General features: G+C 35.1%; 1 long non-coding RNA gene and 1 pseudogene across 1 annotated transcript in view; one reads left to right on the top strand and one right to left on the bottom strand.

Annotated features, from left to right (window-relative positions):
* Window positions 1-15,987, top strand: part of ARHGEF26-AS1 (ARHGEF26 antisense RNA 1) — a 96,810-nt gene extending 80,823 nt beyond the window's left edge. The window contains exons 3-4 of the long non-coding RNA NR_037901.1: window positions 10,012-10,111; window positions 13,746-15,987. This is a non-coding gene — a long non-coding RNA (ARHGEF26 antisense RNA 1). The remainder of the gene's footprint in view (window positions 1-10,011; window positions 10,112-13,745) is intronic.
* RPL21P42 (ribosomal protein L21 pseudogene 42) lies at window positions 16,051-16,592 on the bottom strand (annotated as a pseudogene).

The raw sequence follows: 18,813 nt of genomic DNA, 5'->3' as shown, positions 1-18,813 counted from the left end.
AGATTGCTGGATAATAATTCTCATTTTTAATTTTTGACAAATCTCCACAGTTTTTCATAGTGGCTGCATCATTTTTTTCCCACCAACAGTATGGAGGAGTTCCAATTTCTCCACATCCTCAACAGATTTCTTTTTTCTTTTTGTTAATTTAATTTTTATTTTAGGTTTAGGGGCATACATGCAGATTTGTTATATATAGGTAAACTGCATGTCACAGAGGTTTGGTGTACAGATTATTTCATCAGTCAGGCGATAGCCATCATACTCCATAGGCAGCTTTTTGATCCTCTGTCTCCTCCCCACCTCCACCCTCAGGGAGGCCCCAGTGTCTGTTTTTCCCCTTTGAGTCCATGTGTTCTTGTTGTTTAGAGTTGTTTATAAGTGAGAATATTCAGTAATAGTGTTTTTGATTAATAGAAGTTCTTCATTTTAATGTAGTTTAATCAATTTCAACCTTTTTATTCTTCCCTTTTTTCTTATTTAACTGACTAGTTCAACCAATTCAGCTGACTAATTCTCTGTGGTTTTTGGCATCTCTGATGTGTTGTTTTGCACATCTAGGAGATTTTGTAGTTTTATCATTTGTACTTCTTCAGCTTTACAATTATTTAACAATAATGTTTATTTCTTTGTTGAAATAAATATTATATTTATAATAGTATAAATATTACCATAATTTTATTGTAATATTACTATTATAATATATTTTATTATAATAAATATTATATTAAGAAATATTATTTCTTGACTGAAATAAACATTGTTAAGTAATAATTCTAAAGCCAAAGAAGTACAAATGTTAACTATAAAATGCCTATTTATTCATTGACACCATATTTTTCTTCAATTCTTTGAACTTTTTTTTTTTTTTTTAATTTGAGATGGAGTCTTACTCTGTTGCCCAGGCTGGAGTGCAGTGGCACCATCTTGACTCACTGCAACCTCCACCTTCCAGGTTCAAGCGATCCTCCGGCTTCAGCCCCCCTAGTAGCTGGGATTACAGGTACGCACCACCATGCCCAGCTAATTTTTATATTTTTAGTAGAGATAGGGTTTCACCATGTTGGCCAGGCTGGTCTCAAACTCCTGATCTCAGGTGATCCACCCGCCCTGGCCTCCCAAAGTGCTGGGATTACAGGCGTGAGCCACCATGCCCAGCCAATTCTTTGAATATTTTTATAGACATTATAACTGTCTCTGAAGTGAGTGCCACATGTGCCAAAATACTTAACTAACTACCAAGTTTTTTAGCATAGGGAAAACCCACAGAGAACCAGGTTTTAAAAGCAGTGCAAAGACGGAACAGGGCAAAAAGAGCATGGAATGGTTCTAAGATACGAGTAATTTCCTGCAGGTTTGTTTGCTTTGGGATCTGTATTCTGACCTTTAGGTTTTCTGTTACTTGAACTTTTCATAACTGGGAACATGCTTTTTTAAGAAAAGCATCCAATTCATAGATTCTGCTCAATATCACTGTATTTTTCTAGAATACACATTATCTTCCCTCTGCCTACTTCTCTGTGGTGTCTCCTGGAGCCTTAAAATATACGAATAGTTATCAATCAGGCATTTAAGTAGTTCAGATTCTGCATTTGGGTCTCTGTGGTTTTTATATTGTGAGTTCACAATTCTTAGCTCTTCCACGCAGTTTTTGTATTTTTATTTATGCTTTTAGATACTTCTCAGTAACTTTAGGCAGTTTTGTTTTTAATGTCTTTCATGTTTTATAATTGCTATCTGCTGCAGGTTTGCAGGGCCACGTATCTCCTACTATTACTGGAAGTTGATTTTGAATTAACTTTGAATATCAATTTTTTATTATCCGAAAATGTATATATTTCACTTTCAGTTTTGAAGAATGATATTGCTGAGTATAAAAATCTAAGTGGAAAGTGGTGTTTCTACTGATATGTTAAAGATATTTTACACTTTAAGTTTTCATTCATTGGTGCTCTTGGAAAGTCATCTGTTAGTCTGTTGCTACTTTGAAAAGAATTTATATTTTATTTTTCCCTTGGATGCTTTTAAGGTTGTTCGTTTTTTATTTGATTATATGTTTTGCTATGATGTATCTCTGTGTAAATTTCCTTTAATCTGCCCTGCGATCTCTTGAAGCTGTGGCTTGCTTCTTTTATCAATTTTGGAAAATTGTCAGCCAATATTATGTAAATATTTTTGTCCCACTCTCTTATCTTTTATTACAACTACAATTAAATGTATGCTAGATCTTTCATTGTTTTCTCAATGAATCAAACCCTCCTTACTGTATTTTTCAAATTTTTGTCTCTCTATGTATCATTGTAAGTAGTTCTTCCTGACCTGTCTTCCATCTTTCTTTAATCTGTTCTTAAACTCAGCCACTGAGTTATTAATTTAGCTTATTTGTACTTTCAGTTTTACAATTTCCTTTTTGTTGTGCTCACTCCTGTAATCCCAGCACTCTGGGAGGTCAAGCCAGGGGGGAGCTGATCACAAGTTCAGGAGTTGAAGACCAGCCTGGCCAATATGGTAGAATTTCCTTTTTATTTGTTTTATTTTATTTTTATTAATTGACAGGTAATAATTGTGCATATTCGTGGGGGTACTAGTGATGTTTCCATATATATAATGTATAGTGATCAGATTAGGGTAATTAGCATTTCTGTCATCTCAAACATTTATCATTTCTTTGTGTTGGGAATGTTCAATATCAAATTAGTTCTTTTTAAAATTAGCAATGTTTACTCTTTACAGTTTCCAGTTCATTTTGGAAGCTTAAAAGTTGGCCTTTTAGCTTCACTTCATAGACATGGTAATTGTTTTATGTTCTGTTTCTGACAACTTTACTAACTGAAGAAGTTATGGATGTTTCTGCTGACTGTTATTTGTACCAGATCTTGTTCATTTTATCTTGTTTCCTCATGTTTTTCGTTATCTTTGATTAGGTGCTGCATAGTGTATTTGAAAAAATTATTTATAGAAATAATTTGAGGCCTAAGATGATGTGAATTCCTCCAGGGAAGATTTACTCTTGTTTCTTTTATGTGCCTGGTGGCAGTACTAATCTAGGATCTCCTAAATCTAATTTTAGGATTTGAGATATTCTGTGTTACCCAGGAAATCTGATGGCAGAGAGATGCTGCAGTCCATATAGTTCTTTGATTATTTCCAGTTTTCTTATTCATGGAATGCAGTTTTCAGCCCTTCTGAGCCCCAAATTAAATAGGGAGTTCTTTTCTATTTTCCCCAACTTTGACCCCTACTTATATGTTCCTATTCAAGTGATGTTATAAAAAGTGTTGCACAACCTTTTAATCATCTCTTTTTGGATTTACAAATGCCCACTGGTGGGGTGGTTTTGAATGTTAGGCTCATCTCTTTAGATTCCTGTTTTCTTCCAAATTTCTCCTAAATTTGATAATTCCTAATTGCATTGTTAGTTCTTTAATGCATTTAGGAAGTTAAAAAATATTAGCTAGTCTTTTTTATTATCTTTAGCAGGTTTGGCCCAAATCACTGAACTAGATATTGCTGGAAGTAAAATCCTCCAGAGTCAGGGATTTGCATTCTAAGCCATGCTATTATACTCCCTCTCTTACTTTTGCTTTTTAAATAAAAAGAACAGTGTTCAGAATCTTTAGTCCCAATTGCTTCTCATCTCATTCATAATGTAACCAAAGTCTTTAGAAGAACCTGTAAGATACTACTTGATCTGCCCTTCTCCAGCTCTCTGATCTTATTTTCCACTGCTCTCTCGTTCACTTTGCTCCAAGCACACTGATCTCTTTCGTCTTCATCTAACATATCAGGCATGCTTTTGCTCCTTCAGGATCTTTGCATTTGCTGGTGTCTGTGCCAGAAATTCTCCTTTCCCAAATAGCCACACTTCTTTACCTTCTAAGGCTTGAAATTAAATGTTCCCTTTTTAGTGGAACCTTCCCTGACTGCCCTGTCTAAAATTTCAAATACTGTTTTCCTCTCACCTATTGTCTTGGTTTGTTTTGTGTTGCTATAACAGAATTCCACAGACTGGATAATTTATAAGGAGTGGAAATTTATTCTTTCACAGTTCTATATACTGGGAAGTTCAAGATTAAGGCACCGTCAGTTTAGAGCCTGGTCTCTCTGGTTCCAAGATGGCACCTCACACACTGCTTCCTCCAGAGAGAAGGAATGTTGTGTCCTCACATGGCAGAAAAGCAAAAGAGAGAGAACTGACTCCCATGAGTACTTTTTATGGTGGCATGGCAGAAGCTTCGTGATCTAAATGGCTCTCATTAGGCCTCAACACTGCTGCACTGGGGAACAAGTTTCTAACACATAAATTTTGGAGGGGATACATTCAAACCATAGCACCTATGTGCTACCTATTGCTATATTCTGTTTCATTTTTTTCTTAGAAAGTATTATTATCTAACATATTGTATATTTTCATCTTTTAAGTCTTATTAGCAACCTCTCTTTCACCCAGAATATAAATTCCATGGAGGCAGTGATTTTTGTCTATTTGGTCATTGTTCTGTCTCCAGTAAAGAGAGTGGAGTTTGTCACAAAATAATATTCAGTAAATATTTGTTGAATGAATAATAGAGAACTTTTGTTTATATATCTCAGATAGGCTAGATATACCTAGAATTGTGCTTAAGGAATGCTTTCCTAAGTTCCTTAAGGAGTAAAAGGCAATACTGATCAAATGTTGTTTTTATTAAAAGTTTAATATAAAGAGAAAAATAAATCATATACTGATCAAATGTTGTTTTTATTAAAAGTTAAATATAAAGAAAAATAAATCATATACTAGAGGTAGAAAATAGTGTACTGGTAATTAATAAATAGTAAAACAGTAGTTCTTAAAGTTTAGCTTGCTTAAGAAATATGTGAGGATGCTTATTAAAATAAAGGTTCTAGAACAGGCCCTTTCTTCACGGATACTAAATCAGCAAAGATGGGGTGATAGCCTACAATGTGCATTTATACTAACATTTGAAACTTGGAGAAATATTGATCTAAAGAATCACAAGTTGGTCCCTGAAGCATAGAAATGAGTACAGTAGTTACTAGCTGAGCTTGGAAAAATATTTCCTTCTCTAACATTGCAAATGCACTGACCATATCCTCCTTCAGCAATTGGTTTTTAGACTCCATGATAATTTATGGGAATTCTCAGGAGACCAACTTCTTCATGTCTCAGTTTTATTCTTTATATAATTAATTACGGACTCATTTACATTTACTATTTCTTATTTACAAAGTGTTGAAAGGCATTCCTGGAGCAGAATTGAATGTATGAAAACATCTGATAATAAACAGAGATTATACTGGAGAGGAATTCACGGGCTCCTGCTTCATCCTCTTGGACTGTGATATTAAAATGCTCACCAGCTGTGTTTAATCAATAGTTCTTTTCATATTTGAATGTAGTTCCAACTCAGAGACAAAGGTCTAAGAAATATATTCTAAAATTTATCAGAGAAAGAATTAAATACCTATTCATATGCCTCCCTTTTTTGACCTGTTTTCTTCAGGCTCCATTTCAGTAATCCACAAATTCTTGCTATCACCTGATAAGTGAATATAAAGCATTAAAGTGCCAATTGCACAGTTTTTGTTTTTAAGGGTCAGGGAAGGGTTAGGACATCCTGGGTCTGGATTTCATTCTTTTCTAGACTTCCTGTGTAATTTAATGCTCCTCCATCTGCACTCAGAATCCTATTAGAATAAAAGAGAGATTTCAGCTGCTTTTTCGCTCGTATGTAACTGTGTTTCTAATGGCAACTTCCCAATAGAGGTTCAGGTGCTTATGTGAAGAAAGGACATTCTCACTCCATTTCAATAAATTTGGAACAGTGCATTTAGAAGAATAAGCTTTATATCTTTCATCCAGCATTCCTCTTACCTTTAATTTAGAAGCAAGCAGGTCTACCCCTAAATATGTTTTGAGATTTTCTCTACTAATCTATTGAATTGTTTATTTTTTGAGGCTCTATGAGGATGATGGTATTATTATGTGGTAGTTATTGTTTTAAACTGCACAACAAGTTTTCCCATATGCACCTTCTTACTTATATAATAGGCCCCTTCCTTATATAACCCAGTATTAGTGGATGGGAATAACAGTTGTGGCCAACCGAAGCACTCATTATTCTGGCTGCATACATTGGTTGAGAGGTAGCTTAATGACATCGGTCAATCAATCAGACTCCTTGGGATATTCCTATTGGGACAAGGGTGGAAAATTGTTTCTTGCCTCTGTGGTCCCCTTACTGGAAGGATAGGAAACTAAGAGCACTAGAAACTATCCTACTCATCATGTGGCTACAGCCAGGCAACAATACTAGAGAATGAGGCCCACACCTAGAAAGACGCAGAGCTGAAACGTGAGGAAAAGGCTAATTATTATTTTTTTTTTGAGACGGAGTCTCGCTCTGTTGCCCAGGCTGGAGTGCAGTGGCACAATCTCGGCTCACTGCAAGCTTTGCCTCCCAGGTTCATGCCATTCTCCTGCCTCAGCCTCCCGAGTAGCTGGGACTACAGGCGCCTGCCACCATGCCCAGCTGATTTTTTTTTTTTTTTTGTATTTTTAGTAGAGACGGGGTTTCACTGTGTTAGCCAGGATGGTCTTGATCTCCTGACCTCGTGATCTGCCCGTCTCGGCCTGGAAAAGGCTAATTTTTAAAATTTTGTTTTTAATTGACATGTAATAGTTGTACATTTACATGGAGTACACTGTGATGTTCCAAGGGGAAAGGATCTTGGTGATCTGGTCCTGAATATATTAGGTTGGTAAAAAATGTTTGATGCTGGGATCATTCCTTTCCTTCCCTATTACATAGTCAATAAATTAATTTTTACCACATGCTAGTTGAATTGCATTTCTGTTATTTCAAACTGAAAACATCCTGACAAAAATAAACAATAACAACAAATAGAAATGGAGATTGAAAAAAACATGCAGGAAGTTAACAATTCCTTCAATGGTACAAATGAGTTTTCTGGATATGTCACAGGTATAAGCATTTTCGTTAATAACTTGGTTTTGTGTCAGGATTCCTTTATTCCTCCTGCATCTAACATTAATAAATTGCTATTTGTTGTTAAGGGAAGTAGGGAACTCCTATAATATTAAATCTAGGGAGATCCCAGAAAGTTAGCCATCCCAAAGTCTTTGAAAACCTGGCTACATTGTCACCTTAAGCTTAGGAAGCCAAAATTCAATATGGACATAGAAATATCTCTTTTTTAGGGGGAGAATTCCAGAGTAGCTGATAAATTGTATTATTTTTTGGCACCATGACTCATAGCTATAACTTTTTAACTCTTTAGGGGGACTTTTGCATTTGCCATGGGAGATGTCATTTCAATGCCTAAAAGTTAGATAGATTAAAGATAGGATGTAGCTAGGGACATGCATACTGGGATATTTCTGAGTGTGAAAGGGGTTTCTATCAACAGTTAGACCCAGGACAATAGGTCCGAGAACACCAAGAACAAGAACACCAAGAACCAAGAACATGCTAGAGAAAGGGAGATATTTGTTTGTCTTTGCCAAAGATGATAGACTCTTTTCCTAGACTAGTGGTTTCCAAACTGGTTCCACATTAGAATTGCCTGGGAAACTTACAAAAATACAGAAGCTAAGTTTCCTCACCCAGAGGTTTTGATGATTTGTCTGGAGTGGCATATGGGAATTTCACTTTTAAAGAGTTCCCTGGAGACTGTACAGCATAGTTTTAGTATTTAAGTATCTAAACCTGAATCTCAATAGGCAAAGACCTGGTGTCTCTTCTTCCATGAGCTAGGTGTGTGATTCTGGACAAATAATTTTCTGATCTTCAGTGGCTTCATCTATAAAAAGAGGGGTTTAGTCTAAAAAATACTCTAAGATCTACTGAACTCTGATATTCTACAATTCTGATCGTTTGAAGAGCTCTTCTTTACAGGGATTAAAATCTCTTAAAGTCAGAACCTACTTCCCCTTGTCTTGGACAATGACAGAACATTATTTGGAGGAAGGCTAATCAAGTTCGTTTCTTAAAAGCCAAGGATGTGTTGTATAAACGAAGTGATAGGACATGCGCACATATTAATTCTAGTGCTGTTTGAGAGCACCTAGCAGTTTTCATGCCAGCTGAGAGGATGAAAGGCCTGCAACCCCCAAAGACATTATGTAATCTTTGCAATCTAATTCAGCACAACCTTCAACAACTGAAATGTTGAAGGGCAGGTTTACTCTTCCCCAGAATGAATTTTTATGGTTGCTTATACTGAGAAGGCAGTGCATTGTATGTGTCTTGTTAATGACCTAATGCAGTGTGTTCTTCTGTCTATAAATGGAGACAAACTGAGAGATGTACAACTGGTCTAAAATAGAGGGCCTAGTTCAGGGTGTGAAATGTATTTTGTTAAGTCATGTTAAGCCTCAGTTCCTCATTCCTTTTAACAACAAACTCCTTTAAAGATTTAATGCTAGCATTGAATTACTTTTTATAACCCCATAAGAACCCTATCCCCTCTGCTTCTTTTGTTCTGGCTGAGTTAATATATCAGGTAGGATACGCTGGATCGTGGCACCTTCTCAAACTCATCAACCAGCAATCTTCCCTTCTTTTTTCATAGAGTAGTCCCTAATAAATACAAACGAGAAGAAATATCTCTCTACTTAATGTTTCACTCCTGAGTTGATCATATATAGCCTATTTGTCCAAAAACATTTTTGAGTTCCTACTGGGTTTTCAGCAGACCTTTAGATTTAAACTGCCCTAAGTTTTTGTTTGTTTGTTTTTCTTCATCTCTGTATCTCGGCCTGTACAACCTCCAAAGATGATCCATATTGCAAAATGATGTCTTCTGCATAGATCTCAAACCAAAATAAAAATTCCCCTTCCTGGCAATAGTATCAGCTTAAGAATTAGGAAAAAATCAATTGTGTTAAACTAATTTATATTACTGTATAAATGACTAAAAAATATATATTGTTTCAGTAGGACAATAAAATGTATGCATTCTATTTAGCTACTTATAAGTAGCTAAATTTTTTCCTCTTTCTGCATGCTTTCTAAAAATATTCTGACTTATTTCTTATATGCATTTCTCACAATAAGTTGAGTTCATATATTAGGGTACTTGGTGCACATTTCCCCATGAAGTAGAGCTGCAGATGATAGCTAGCTTATCCACCAGTCCTCCAAATCCCCATCTAACTCTTCTTGTAATTTATAAACAGAGGATTATTAATAAATGTTGCTTAAGTGAATAACTGAATAGAAGTTAGACAGGGAGGAGGGCTCATCCATGAAGAGGGTCTGTGGGTAGTATTCAGTGCTAGAAGACACTTCCTCCTCTTTTCCAGGGCAAAACACTGCTCTGGGTAAAATTATAATGCTCACAGAGCATCTTTTGTATCATAACTCTCTACTCATACTTTCCAACCTCTTTAGATGCTCTCTTCAGTGCTTTCCTAGGTTTATAAGTAAAATCTTTGATCTTGCCCTTCTCATGGAAGGCCTCCTTGCTTCAATATGACCTGTTTCTCCCCTGTGAAAACCCATCATACCTCTCAAATAAAATCCATCTTTTATGAACTCTTCCTAATCACCTTTTAGTATGAAAATAAGCTGATTTAAACATAAGACTCCAAGATTGTTTGTGCTTTAAAGGAAGATATATGTTAACCCAAAATATCTCCAACAGTGGAGTTTTATGTAGTCTGGCTAATTCAATGTGACAATTCAGGCAGAGTGAGAGAATATATTTTCAAGGGGCCAATCTATAGAGTGTCTTGACTGTGTTTCTTTCTCCAGAGTTACCTCCCTTTCATATCATTTCTTCTTTCTAGGTTTTATTTGGGCGGAGGAAACAATGGTTAAATTATGTAGATCAATTATCTAGAAAATAAATATCAAACAAATTGTCTTGAAAGTATTATAAAATTTATTCATGCTTTTTTGGAATTGTTTTGAATGTTTTTATAAATTTTTTCATCCTTTTTTTCAGCAATTCAAGAATAATTTGCTTTTTGCTATGTTGCAGCAGTGAAGGCAGTGAGGGGCTGTGGTGTGATCCAGGAGGCTGAGAATTATGCAGTGGGTGCTGTCACCTTGAAGACATCAGCGTGATCAGGCAGATCATCATGGTAGTAAAATAGATTAAAAATTGCTCTAAGAGGCCATTTTATTAAATAGAAGTGATTTACCACTGAGCAGGAGATATCCCAGTTGTGGTGGCTGGAAGAGAAATTTTCTAAGCAAAGATGAGAAAAAGCAAATGGCTGGTGCTGACGGATCTTTCCAAGCAGTGCTATGTGGCTTCTGTACGCTTCTGCAGACACTGCATCTGTATTCCTGTAGTGAGTGATTCTGACATGGCACACATGCATATCAACACAGATTTCCCTGAAGTACACACTTCACAGGGTTTCAATGACTGAGAGTTTTTGTCAGTGTCATTTTTAAAAGAAAGTGGAGAAGGACCTTCACGTTGTGCACATGTACCCTAGAACTTAAAGTATAATAATAAAAAAAAAGAAAGTGGACGTTCACTACAAATTTTGATTTTTTGTTGTTGTTGTTGATGTTGCAGAAAATGATACAGTGTATCTGTTATGATTTTGTGAGTAAATGTTTAATTTTTCACAGATTTTATAAAGTTAAAGATGAAGCAAGATGATTCAGGAATCCTGTAACTTGCAGCCCACTCCCACTCTCCCAATCCAACCCATATCCATCACCAGCTTGAGAAAGGGAAAGGGAGGAGGACCCAGCAAAGTGGTTGAATCTCAGCAAATCAATGAGTTTGGAAAGAAACAGTTTCAGACTGAAGATTGCAGAGGAAGTTTTTATTTATTTATCTATTTATTTCTTTTTTCTTTTCTTTGTTGCCTCTTACCTTGGTTTGGCAAATGAAAGGCTCTAGTGGATGTGGAATTTGAGAGCACTGGAGAAGAGAAGAGAAAACAAGATGCACTAACTGTGACATTTTGCTGAGTGCCTAGAAATAGATTCCCTTTACTGTCTTTACAGAGGTTTAACTAAGGAATGAAATTCCACTGAAACCTTTTTTGCCTGTTTGGATTGTGCCTCATTGACAGTGATACCACTCTGGGGCTAAGTCTGATGTGTCACAACCCAACAGGGTGGGGCTTTATCTCTTTTTCAATTGATTACATGAAATAATTGTATTAAATAGAAAATATAAAGGTATAAATGCCTTGATATTTATTTCTTATCAGTCCTTATATTCCTTAGTAGATCTCTATTTAAAGCTCTAAAATTATTTATCTTCTCCTCCCCTGATACTTCTTTTCAGTCTAAACTCTCCAAATTTTGTGAATGTGAAGAAACTTACAAACTCTGAATATTTCTGAAAACAATCTTCTATTGTAAAAGTAATATGATCCCATTAAACAAAATTTGTAAAAAAAAAAAAAAAGAAAAGAAAAAAATCACCTACAACATTATTAGCCTAATATAAACTGATACAAATGAATATAATACTGCTTTGGTATTTTCTCTCCATATTTTCTTTTACAAAGCCTAGTTATGATTATATTAAGCACTTTACCTCAGGTAAAGCACTCAGCTTCCCCTTCGATTCTAGCATTTGGCATCTGAGGGCCATGATCTTTGGTAGCCATTTTTTTATACTTCAGGAGTTTATATGCCAGAATCAGGCTGTCAAATAGGTCCATATTAATACCTGTTAAATTCTGAAAGTTCAGGGACAAACTTTTAATCTATCCTTAGCAAAAAGTGATAAACTTGGAGGTGCTAAGTAAATAAAATGTCTTAATAAAATTCCATTACAATGTTCACATGTACCATTCTGATACTGTATATTTGCCCTTACAGTCTTGTCTGCATAGCAGGATGCTGTGCCAAATCATCTCAGCAAAAGGTCTCTACATCACGATGTAGGCAAAGACATTAGAGTGGGTGAAGAGAACCTCTTATTACCTTTTCTGGGCCCAATTTTCTCATAATGAACCTGCACAAGATGATCTCTAAGGTTCGGTTGTGTTGTAGCAATATATTCTGTAGAGTTGAGAACTTGAAAAGTTTCCTCCACTTAGCATAGTTATTTCTAGACAGAAATGTCTTTTGTATTCTTAAGGCATATCGTGTATGACAGTAATCTCCTAATTTTTTCTTACACACCTGCTAAAAGAATTCTAAAAAGCTATATACCCTCCTGCACATTTAAAAGGACATTAAAATTTCTTTTCATCACTATAAACAATGATAAGGGATGTAATATTCAGTATAATATAAATATTGACCTTTTAGAATAAAACCATTTTAAAAGCACTCAATATAACAAAAACCATAGCAATGTGTTACTAGCTATAACCCATTCAAAACTAGGTGACCATGCTTTTCAAAGAAATTTAATTTGTAGTTTTCTTTGTTCTTTTATTTCCATTCCATCCCCCCACAGAATTGTTTCTTAATTCAATATATTTTTATGCTTAAAAATCTTCTATTGTTTCACTTGTAGTTTTCTTCGTACTTGTATTTCTGCCTCTGAATTATAACCTAATTGATTTTTATGCTTAAAAATCCCTTATTAATCATATTACTCGGCAATAAATACATGAGTATTCATTTGGGAACTAATTTTTAAAATTCATGTCCATAGGTTCTAACTGTTCAAATGTTTCTTTTGGATTGAGTTTTCATTATAGTTATTAGTACAAAATTGGACTAAATGGCATGAATATATTACACATTTTGATACATAATTATTAAGCAAATGCATTTCTTAGGGGGATAGATATAATTTTTTTAAACAATTAGCTTATTGTAGACATGCATGAATATTACTAATTGTTAGGCAGGGTTGAGCATCAACTTTGCTTTGTTTCTCCTCCTTAGAGATGAAAAGCTTATGTTCACTTAAATAAGTAGATGAGAATGAAAGTTTTGCTACAGTAATGTTACTCAGTTTTATTGACTCAAGTCATATGCAAGAAACACATATATCTCTGTCATGGTTAACTTTATGTGTCACCTTGGCAAGGCTGTGGTGCCCAGTTATTTGGTTAAACACTAGTCTAGATGTTGCTGTGAAGGTATTTGTAGAGGTGATTGACATTTACAACCAATACACTTTGAGTAAAGCAAATTGCCTGCAATGATGTGGCTAAGCCTCATTTATTCTATTGGAGGCCTTAAGAGCAAAGACTGAGGTTTCCCAAAAAAGAAGCAATTCTACCTTAAGACTGCAGCCAGCATAGAAACCCTGCCTGAGTTTACAGCCTACTGGCTGCTCTATAGATTTTGGTTTCAAGACTGCGATGTCAACTCTTACTTGAATTTCCAGCCTGCCAGCCAGTCTTACAAACTTCAGACTTGTTAGCCCCACTGCAAGAGCCAATTCCTTAAGATAGTTCTCTATGTATCTCCATCTCTATCTCTATCTCTCTCTATCTCTGTCTCTGTTTATATCTCTATCTCTATCCCCCCCTCTACCTTTATCTCTATCTGTATCCCCTAATCTCTATCTCTCTCTCTCTCTCTATCTCTCTCTATCTCTATTTCTATCTCTGTCTCTGTCTCTGTATCTATCTATATCTTTATCTCTATCTCCTATTGCTTCTGTTTATCTGAAGAATCCTAACTAGTAGTCTCATATCAAAAGTACTTTTAGTGACCTATCATTGACAACTGAATTAGACTCTTTACAATTTTTTTAAGAAAAATAATTGAGTACCCCTCAATTGAAAAAAAAATGATTTGTTACCTAATCTTAATTTTCTTTTCTTTTTTTAGGTACTGCATTTCCTGGACACGATCTTAATTTTCTTAATACCTCCACCGACATTTCAAATAGCGTCTCTAATGCCCCAGAGACTTTTATGCCCCTAAGGTAGTTTTCTTTCTTTTGTGAAGCAGAAGAAGGGAAATTGTTAAAGGGAATATTTTAACTAAATTTATTTCCATAAAACTATCTTTGTCTTTATATCTCATGGAAAGTGTTAGGTAGCCTCAGGATTATATCTCCGTTGGAAAACTGTAGATGTAAACCTTCTTGCTATCTACATACTTACATATTTTTCTGTTGTTATTTACTTATGAATAGCATTTTGATTATAGCAGAAATAAAATACATTAAATGACTAAGCTCAGAAATAAGAAAAAAAGGTCAATGGTGATCATTTATTTGGAAACTATGATATTTTAATGATATTAATGGTGTAATTGACATTTAGTTAAACATATTTCATCGTAAGTAGAGCACTTTAACTCTTACGGTCCACTTAAAATGTAATCATACGTTTATGTATTTCTAGTTAATGTATCAAACTCAACTGAGTAATCAATGTACATCATTTATTTTGCTCCTAAGTTAATACACTAAGTTATGCTTTAAAATTACTAATTTGCTGCAATATCCAATACTCTCTTTTAAGTCTTACGTCTGCAGAAAAGGATATAAACATTTCATGACACCAAACCCAAGTATTTTTGATGCCCTTGGCAGTGTCAGTTGAACAGACAGTGTCATTTAATGTTTGAGACAGCATCTGAATTCCTTTTATTCTTAAAATTCTATTTTAAAATGCAGTTTTTGGAAAGTTAATGTGAATAGAAAAATTTCTAACATTTTATGTGCATGTGTTTTGTTTGTTACAGGCTTAGCATCTCAAATCTGAAAATTCGAAATCTGAAATGTTTCTAAAATTCAACTCTTTTGAGTGCTGATATGACTTTCAAAGGAAAAGCTCATTGGAGCATTTCAGATTTTGGATTTTTGGATTTGGGATGTTTAACCAGGGTAAAATATAGAATGCAAATATTCCAAAATCTGAATAAAATTGAAATCTGAAATGCTTATGGTTCCAAGCATTTTGGATAAGGGATAATTAAGCTGTATAACTTATAAAACTGAATATAACAAAATTTCCCAACATGTGGAAAATGATGTCTTTTTTCAAAAATGTCAATAGCAGATACATGGTACAGTAAGTTAGGGGAAAAAATGAGGTTTCATATCTTCTAGTTTCCTAATTAAAAGGAGCCCATTCTGGGTTGGAAGAAAGTGTCAGTAAGATCATTTCTCCTATTTGAAAATCATACAAAGCTTGTCAGAGTGACTCAGGCCAGGAGTGTAGCTGGGCGTGTAGCTAAATGATATCTCCCCACATCTATATAATAAGCTGTTACCTGCTTTAAAAGGAAAAGCTCTCAGCATGACTCTAATGTTGCATTTCTGGAATACAGCTTGAAAAGCTCTTCTCAGGGTTGAACAGAGCATGAAGGTAATGGTTATTATCTACTCACATTAAAAAAAAAAAAAAAGAAAGAAACCACCACAGAAAACTACTTACTGTCTTTAGGCTCTACTTTCAAAAGTGCCCTTTATGAACGCTTTTACACTGTTGATGGGAGTGTAAATTAGTTCAACCATTGTGGAAGACAGTGTGGTGATTCCTCAAGGATCTAGAATCAGAAATACCATTTGACCCAGCAATCCCATTACTGGGTATATACCCAAAGGATTATAAATCATTCTATTATAAAGACACATGCACACGTATGTTTATTGCAGCACTGTTCACAATAGCAAAGACTTGGAACCAACCCAAATGCCCATCAATGATAGACTGGATAAAGAAATTGTGGCACATACACACCATGGAATACTATGCAGCCATAATAAAAGATGAGTTCATGTCCTTTGCAAGGACATGGACAAAGCTGGAAACCATCATTCTCAGCAAACAAGAACAGAAAATCAAACACTGCATGTTCTCAGTCTAAGTGGGAGCTGAACAATGAGAAAACATGGACACAGAGAGGGGAACATCACACACTGGGCCTGTTGGGGGGTAGGGGGCTAGGGGAGGGATAGCATTAGGAGAAATACCTAATGTAAATGACAGGTTAATGGGTGCAGCAAACCACCATGGCATGTGTATACCTATGTAACAAACCTGCATGTTCTGCACATGTATCCCAGAACTTAAAGTATAAATAAATAAATGAATAAATAAATAAATTTTAAAAAGTGCCCTTTATGTGTGTGTGTGTGTATATATACATATATATTACATATATGTTTTAAATATATTTATTTTTTGTAGTTCAGAGGTCTTTTATCTTTCTATACCTATTATGCCATGAATTCATAGGGAATAGGTTCCAGCAGCTCAGGCTCCTCTCCATTGGTTCTCCAAAGTGTGCTCCTCTGGGTGGAGCTGGCTGACACCAAGTACCTTTGTCTTTGGCTTCCTTTTTTTCTGATCATTTTCCTTCACGCGTTTCAGGAAGCTATTTCGGGTCTTAGAGTGCTTAATGTGCTTAATATGCACATTAATTCTCTTGGCAAGAATCCTGCCCTTGTTTGTTTAGAACAATGCCAACAGCATGCTGGGTAACATTGTAGACTCTTCCAGGTTTGCCATGGTAGCACTTGTGGGGCATTCCTTTTTGAACAGTATCCATTCCTTTGATGTCTACAATATCGCCTTTCTTGTGGATTCCCATGTATGTGGCCAAAGGAACAATTCTATGTTTTCTGAAAGGCCAAGAGAACAATTATCAGGTGACTCTCCTGTTTCCCTTTGTGTTCGTCATTTTGGTGAATTACTGGAAGATGGTGGTTCTGGCTGAAAGAGCTATTTTTGTAGCTTTGATTCTGCAGTTATTAATTTTTATATTGTTGATTTGTGCATGTGTAATTATATTCAACCTTCTCTCTCTGAGATCTGATGGTATAAAAGGATGACATTTATGTTGCCAAATATTTTACCTAAGTAAAAAAATAACTGAATATAAAAGATTACATTTATCATAAATTATATACCCTAAACTGCATAATCAGAGTAGCAAAATGCAGACACTTTCATCAATTCAATTTTGATGGTTTAAAAGCATTTTCCCCCACTGGTGTGCTGAAACTGGCCTGCACTGGCTTATAACAGCTGATTGTTAGATTTTTAGGAATCATGTTGGCAGCTTGAAATCAGTCATAGAAGGAGTATTTACACCATGGAAACCAGCAAATGTTACAAACCAGCACTTTTTTTTTCCCTCCAGGGAGAAGCCAGATGTTAAACATTAACCAGTACACTACTACCTATGTACACAAAGTCTCTCTCTTTCTCTCCTCTCTCTCTCTCTTTTTCTCCTCTCTCTCTCTCTTTCTCTCCCTAATAAAGTTTGTATGATTAGGAGGAAGAAATTACATGATTAATATCAAATTGCCTATTACAATTTTTTTGTAAAGTTGTTGTGAATTGAATGTATTATATTCTTGGGAGAATAAAATGAAGTCTGGACCAAAGATGAATGTCTTGTAGAAAATGTATGAATTGGTTTCAGAAGGTACAGTTCTAGATTTTCTCGACAATCAAAAACATGTTCAGTGAAAATGAATACTTTTTTATTTTAATAAATAAGGACTCCATTTACAACTGAGCAACTGTCTTTTTTTTAGGGGAAATTTTGTACAAGATTCCTCCTCTTGCCTCAAAAAATAAGGAGCCCAAACTTAGACTCAAGCTCTGTTTAATGTTAGGCAATGCTTCTTGGCAAAGCAAGAGAACTGTGATGTTCTATCACTATAGAATTAGCCACGAGGCATGCTGCTCAGAATACTGTTACTTACATTGTTACCAGTTACAAGAGCCTCTATTGTACTCAATACACACACACATACACAGGAAAAGTAGAGTCAATATTGGTGGTGGAGCTGTGAGTTGCACAAATATGCTGCCTGAGTAGTTATGTGTCTGAATTAGCTAACATTAGCATCCATTATGCCTAAATAGCTTTCAAAATATAATACTGAAATTTCTCTCTTCTGCCCCAGAGTTTACATGTCAAAAGTTATTGAATTTAGAGATTTCTAAGATTGACATGCAAACCAGTGTAGTCCAATATTCTCTTACAAGGCTACTTATTCAGAAAATTTGTGAGACCTAGGTCATATCTCTTTTCATTCACACAATTTTTCACACAGACAGATTTTAGCAATAATTAGAGTGTTATCATTGTCTTATATAATTTTATTCTTTAATAAAAAATTGCAGTTATGACGGAAAAAACATCTACTTATCATGGTAATGAATTATTCACTCATGATCGAGACAGACACCTATAATTATATGATGATTTGGCTTATCTTCGATAAAGAGTTTTAAATTTTATTTTTTAATGATTTGAAATAAAATTATGTGGTATATAATTATATTTTGTAAGTGTTCCACTTGTATTTGAATAAAATGTATATTTTTAGCCAGGCACAGTGGTTTATGCCTGTAATCTCAGAACTTCGGGAAGCTGAGACGGGAGGATTGCTTGAGGCCAGGAGTTTGACACCAGCCTGGACAGCATGGTAAGACCTCATCTCTACAAAAATAAAAATAAAAAAATTTAGCTGGGCATGGTGGTACATGCCTATAGTTGCAGCTACTCAGGAGGCTTTAAGTGGGAGGATTGCTTGATCCCAGGAGTTTCAGCTGCAGTGAGCTATGACTGTGTCACTGTACTCCACCCTGGGCAACAGCGCAAGACCCTGCCTCTTAACAAAAAAGTATATTTTCTGTTTGAGAGTTCCCATAGGAAGTTTCCTCACATGATTTTGTATTTGTCAATTTCTCTATTTATATATATTGCAGCTATACTTGGCTGTTGTTCTTTCTTGGTGAATTATTCCCTTCATAAATTTGAAATACTCCTTTTTGTCCTTTTCAATATCTTCAAATCTACTTTTTTTTTGCTACTAAAAATGCTAGTACATCAGATTTTTTTAACTAATATTTCCTTGTTGGTTTTTATCACACTTGGAATCTTAAATCTTTTGTGTTACTTTGTTTAAATGAGTCTTTATATC

Source organism: Homo sapiens, chromosome 3 (assembly GCF_000001405.40).
Source record: "Homo sapiens chromosome 3, GRCh38.p14 Primary Assembly".
NCBI classification, from domain to species: Eukaryota; Metazoa; Chordata; class Mammalia; order Primates; family Hominidae; genus Homo; species Homo sapiens.
Note: the sequence above shows the minus strand (reverse complement) of the source record. Positions and strands in the feature narration are given on the sequence as shown.